Source organism: Homo sapiens, chromosome 1 (genome assembly GCF_000001405.40).
Source record: "Homo sapiens chromosome 1, GRCh38.p14 Primary Assembly".
NCBI lineage: Eukaryota > Metazoa > Chordata > Mammalia > Primates > Hominidae > Homo > Homo sapiens.
In genome coordinates, this window is record NC_000001.11 from 39577419 (window position 1) to 39583713 (window position 6295).

The window sequence follows — 6295 nt, forward strand, 5'->3', positions numbered from 1 at the left end:
TTAAATGGTATGCCAAATTGTGAAATGAAGGTGACATAAAATAAGTTAAAATAAAATAATAGGTGGTCCAATAGGTAAATGTCTGGGTCCAAATACAATAAAGATTTGAGAAGTTTTCAGGATACCGTTGACCTAGAGGTAGAATCGTCAGGAACTAGAAATGCAAGCAGTATCCATGGGTGATGGGATTTTCTGAAAAGATGAGCACATTTTGGTAAAGCTTCAATGAAACCAAACACAAGCATCCCCTCTATTGACATGCTGGTGGCATTCCCGGACATTTAGTTTGTGTTTAAGGGCACAGAAATACTTTCTGTTCCTATGTTTAAAGTTTCTTCTAGGCTTGGATAATTATAAAAAGACTTTTCATCTGCATGAGAGTCTGGCAGGTCATTTGAAAGTCGTATCACAGGCCAGGCGTGGTGGCTCACGCCTGTAATCCCAGCACTTTGGGAGGCCGAGGCGGGCGGATCACTGAGGTCGAGAGTTCGAGACCAGCATGACCAACATGAAGAAACCCCCGTCTCTCCTAAAAATACAAAAAGTAGCCAGACATGGGGGTGCATGCCTGTAATCCCAGCTACTCAGGCGGCTAAAGCAGAAGAATCGCTTGAACCCGGCAGGCAGAGGTTGTGGTGAGCTGAGATCATGCCATTGCACTCTAGCCTGGGCAACAAGAGCGAAACTCCGTCTCAAAAAAAAAAAAGTCATATCACTTTATAGGACTATGTTATATGGGACTGTCCACACGCATTACAAGATATATAGCATCCCTTCTTCCATAAGTGCCAGGAACCACCTTTGCCATCACTGTGAAAACCAAAAACAGAAATTGCCAAAAGACACAGACATCCCCCTTCAAAAGCACTGATTTAAGTAAATGACTAAAGAAATATGTGTATTTATATATTAATTAATTCAAATAAATGGTTAATCTGAGCCTACTCTATGCCAATGTCAATACAGGGGCTGGAGATACCATGGTGGACCAGAAGTCACTCCCTCTCTCATGGAGTTTATATTCTAATAACTATATTAAATCAAGAAACATTGGCTGGGCACGATGGCTCACACCTGTAATCCCAGCACTTTGGCAGGCTGAGGTGAGCGGATCACCTGAGGTCAGGAGTTCGAGACCAGCCTGGCCAACATGGTGAAACCCCATCTCTACTAAAAATACAAAATTAGCCGGGCATGATGGCACGTGCCTATAGTCCCAGCTACTTGGAAGGCTGAGGCAGGAGAATCGCTGGAACCCAGGAGGCAGCGGTTGCAGTAAGCTGAGATCATGCTACTGCACTCCAGCCTGGGTGACAGAGCGAGACTCCGTCTCAAAAAAAAAGGAACATTTATGGGAGTGCTCCTTCTATAGATTCCCTCCTCAGGAAAGTCTTCCTAGACCTCCTGTGGTCTAAAGTAGCCGTCAACATTGTTAATCACTATCACACCAACTTGTCTTCTTGTCTTCAAGCCTGTTATTCCTACCCAAAATTATGTTGTTCTATATCTGTTTACCTGTTTAGTATCTATCTTTTCCACATTGGTATATAAGCTTCATGAGAACAGGAATCTAGAATAGTGCTTAACATAGCACGTACTAAATGTTCAGTAACTGGCCAGGCAGGTGGCTCACACCTATACTCTCAGTGCTTTGGGAGGCTGAGGCAGGAGGATCGCTTGAGCCCAGACATTTGAAACCAGCCTGGGCAACAGAGTGAGACCCTATCTCTACAAAAAAAAATTTTCTTTTAATTGGCTGGGTGTGGGGACACATGCCTGTGGTCTCAGCTACTTGGGAGTCTGAGGTAGGAGGATCGCTTGAGGCCAGGAGTTGAAGGCTGTAGTGAGCTATGATCATGTCGCTGCACTCCAGGCTGAGCAACAGAGTGAGACTCTGTTACTAAAAAATAAATAGATAAATAAATATTCAATATATGTTTGTGTGTGTGTGTGTGTGTGTGTGTGTGTGTGTGTGTGTTTTCTTGTTTTTTTTGTGGGGGGGGTATGAAATCTTCCTCTGTCACCGAGGCTGGAGTGCAGTGGTGCAGTCTCGGCTCACTGCAACCTCTGCCTCCCAGGTTCAAGCAATTCTCATGCCTCAGCCTCCCAAGTAGCTGGGATTGCAGGCATGCGCCACCACACCTGGCTATTTTTTTTTTTGAAACCAACTCTCGCTCTATTGGCAGGCTGGAGTGCAGTACTGCGATCTAGGCTCACTGCAACTTCCGCCTCCCGGATTCAAGCAATTCTCCTGCCTCAGCCTCCCGAGTAGCTGGGACTACAGGTGCGTGCCACCACACCTGGCTAATTTTTGTATTTTTAGTAGAGATGGGGTTTCACCATGTTGGCCAGGATGGTCTCAATCTCTTGACCTTGTAATCTGCCCGCCTCGGCCTCCCAAAGTGCTGGGATTACAGGGGTGAGCCACCACGCCCAGCCTTTTTTTTTTTTTTTTTTTTTTTGAGACAGAGACTTGCTCTGTCACCCAGGCTGGAGTGCAGTGGCGTGATGTCGGCTCACTGCAACCGCCACCTCCCGGATTCAAGTGATTCTCCTGCCTCAGCCTCCCAAGTAGCTGGAATTACAGGCACCCACCACTATGCCCAGCTACTTTTTGTATTTTCAGTAGAGATGGGATTTCACCATGTTGCCCAGGCTGGTCTCCGACTGCTGACCTCAGGTGATGTATTCGTCTCGGCTTCCCCAAGTGCTGGGATTACAGGCGTGAGCCACACACCCAGCCTGTGTATTTTTTTTTTTGTTTTTTTGTTTTTTTTGAGACTGGGTCTCGCTCTGTTGCCCAGGCTGGAGTGCAGTGGCGCGATCTTGGCTCACTGCAAGCTCTGCCTCCCGGGTTCACGCCATTCTCCTGCCTCAGCCTCCCGAGTAGCTGGGACCACAGGTGCCCACTACCACGCCCGGCTAATTTTTTGTATTTTTTAGTAAAGATGGGGTTTCACTGTGCTAGCCAGGATGGTCTTGATCTCCTGACCTCGTGATCCGCCCACCTTGGCCTCCCAAAGTGCTGGGATTACAGGCATGAGCCACTGCATGTATTTTTTTTTAAGCAACAAAGTCTCACTGTGTTGCCCAGGCTGGAGTGCAGTGGCCTGATCATAGCTCACTGCAGCCTCAAACTCCTGACCTCAAGCGATCCACTTTGGCTTCTTAAAGTGTTGGGATTACAGGCATAAACCACTGCACCTGGCCTAAATATTTGTTAAATAAACAAATGAATACTAGGCACAGATGAGCAAAACCCACACAAGCTCTGACCTCCTGAAGCTTATTGTCTATTGGGGGAGCTTATTACCTATATTACTTTGGGCAAGCTAGTTCACATCTCTGACCCTCAAATTTCTCATCTGAACTATACTAATAAACCTTATTAACAATTAAAAGGGTTATTGTGAGAATAAATGAATACATATAAATACACATAAATTGTTTGGATTAATTTTTTTTTTGAGATGTCTCACTTTGTCGCCCAGGCTGGAATGCAGTGGTGCGATCTCAGCTCACTGCAACCTCTGCCTCTCAGGTTCAAGCGATTCTCCTGCCTCAGCCTCCCTAGTAGCTGGGACTACAGGCATACATCGCCACACTGGGCTAATTTTTTGTATTTTAGTAGAGACAGGTTTTCACAATGTTGCCCAGCCTGGTTGCGAACTCCTGAGCTCAGGCAATCCGCCCCCACCTCAGTCTCCCAAAGTGTTGGGATTACAGGTGTAAGCCACCATGTGCCCAGCCTTGGATGAATGTTAATAGCTATTACTATCAAGCTACATTTGTACTAAGAAAGGAGGCGGAGGCCGGGCGCGGTGGCTCACGCCTGTAATCCCAGCACTTTGGGAGGCTGAGGCAGGCAGATCACCTGAGGTCAGGAGTTCGATACCAGACTGACGGACATGGAGAAACCCCATCTCTACTAAAAAAACAAAATTAGCCAGGCGTGGTGGTGCATGCCTGTAATCCTAGCTACTCCAGAGGCTGAGGCTGGAGAATCACTTGAACCGGGGAGGTGGAGGTTGCGGTGAGCCGAGATTGCGCCATTGCACTCCAGCCTGGGCAACAGGAGTGAAACTCTGTCTCAAAAAAAAAAAAAAAAAGTAAAATAAAAAGAAAGGAGGGGAGTCCCTAAATGAAGTCAGGGAGAACAGCATCTATAAAGGCCCTAAGTGCCAGGCGTGGTGGCTGCCGCCTGTAATTGCCTGTAATTCCAGCACTTTGGGAGGCCAAGGAGAGCAGATCACCTGAGGTCAGGAGTTTGAGACCAGCCTGACCAACATGGTAAAACCCCGTCTCTACTAAAAATAGAAAATTAGCCGGATGTGGTGGCAGGTGCCTATAATCCCAGCTACTTGGGAGGCTGAGGGAGGAGAATCATGTGAATCCGGGAGGCAGAGGTTGCAGTGAGCCAAGGTTGTGCCACTGCACTCCAGCCTGGGCGACTGAGAGAGACTCTGTCTGAAAAAAAAAAAAAAGCCCTAAGGGAGACAAACTGTGGAGTTGTGGGAAATGAAAGAGATGGCCTTAAAACACTTAGGATTTTATCCTCAGATCAAAGAGTAAAGCTGCAGGATTTTAAGAGCAAAGTGCCTTCGCTCAAATTACTTTTTTCTTTCTTTTTTTTTTTTTTGTTTTGAGAGGGAGTCTCACTCTGTCGCCCGGGCTGGAATGCAGTAGTGGGATCTCCACTCACTGCAAACTCCGCCTCCCGGGTTCACGCCATTCTGCTGCCTCAGCCTCCCGAGTAGCTGGGACAACAGGTGCCTGCCACCACGCCCGGCTAATTTTCTGTATTTTTTAGTAGAAATGGGGTTTCACTGTGTTAACCAGGATGGTCTTGATCTCCTGACCTCGTGATCCGCCCGCCTGGGCCTCCCAAAGTGCTGGGATTACAGGCGTGAGCCACTGCGCCCAGCCCAAATTACTTTTTTCTTTTTGAGACAGGGTCTCTCTCTGTTGCCCAGGCTGGAGTGCAGTGGCACAGTCATGGCTCACTGTAGCCTCAACCTCCTAGGCTCAAGCGATCCTCCTGCCTCAGCCTCCTGAGTAGCTGAGACCACAGGTACACACCACCACACCCTGCTAATTTATTTTTTGTAGAGATGTGGTCGCACTATGTTGCTCATGCTGGTCTCGAACTCCTGGGCTCAATCGATCCTCCCCTCCACGGCCTCCCAAAGTGTTGGGATTACAGGCCTGAGTCACTACACCTGGCCCCCTCAAGTTACATTTTTAAAAAACCTAGGCCGGGCACGGTGGCTCACACCTGTAATCCTAGCACTTTGGGAGGCCAAAGCGGATGGATCACAAGGTCAAGAGATCGAGACCATCCTGGCCAACATGGTGAAACTCCGTCTTTACTAAAAATACAAAATAGCTGGGCGTGGTGGCATGTGCCTGTAGTCTCAGCTATTCGGGAGGCTGAGGCAGGAGAATCACTTGAACCCAGAAGGAGGAGGTTGCAGTGAGCTGACACAATGCCACTGCACTCCAGCCTGGCAACAAAGTGAGACTCTGTCTCAAAAAAAAAAAAAAAAACCTGTCTGACTGCAAATGGAAAAGGATTAGAGGATAGGTACAAGGAGACCTATGAGGCGATGGCTGCTAAGGTGGTGGCCATGGAGGTGGAGGATGTGTGTCAATTAGGGACATACTTAGTATAATTTCTGATTAATTGGATGTAGGAGGTGAGAGAGTGAGGAGTCAAGGACGGCTCCCAAGTTTCTGGGAAACCAAAACAATTTCGATTCCTTGCATCTAAACACAAGGTTATCACTGAATTAGTCTTAGAGGGGAAAGATATGCAAAGCTACCAGAGGAGTCACCCAGACTCCAGGTCTGCAAAATCTAAACAGGCCTTCATGGGACAAAAAGTAGGGTTGGAAGAGGCTGGACAAGTAACCAGGCTAGTGATCTGAAAGGAGGCTTGTGCACATCAGTACAAATCTGCCCTTGCTGGGGTGGGAAGTGGTATGATTTTTTTTTTTCCACTGGGACTGAACCTATTCTTGGTGGGTCTATACTTGAGAGATGGTCTTGACATGTCAAGAGAAAGAATATGTTCAGGGTTGGGAAGAGGAAGAAGGAAGAACTTCAAGGTGGGGAGATGGATATAGAGGCTGCTCTCTGCAGCTATTTTTTTTTTTTTTTTTGAAACGGAGTTTCGCTCTTATTGCCCAGGCGGAGTGCAATGGCACGAACTCGGCTTACCATAGCCTCCGCCTCCTGGGTTCAAGCAATTCTCCTGCCTCAGCCTCCTGAAAGCTGAGGATTTTACACGTAGCAG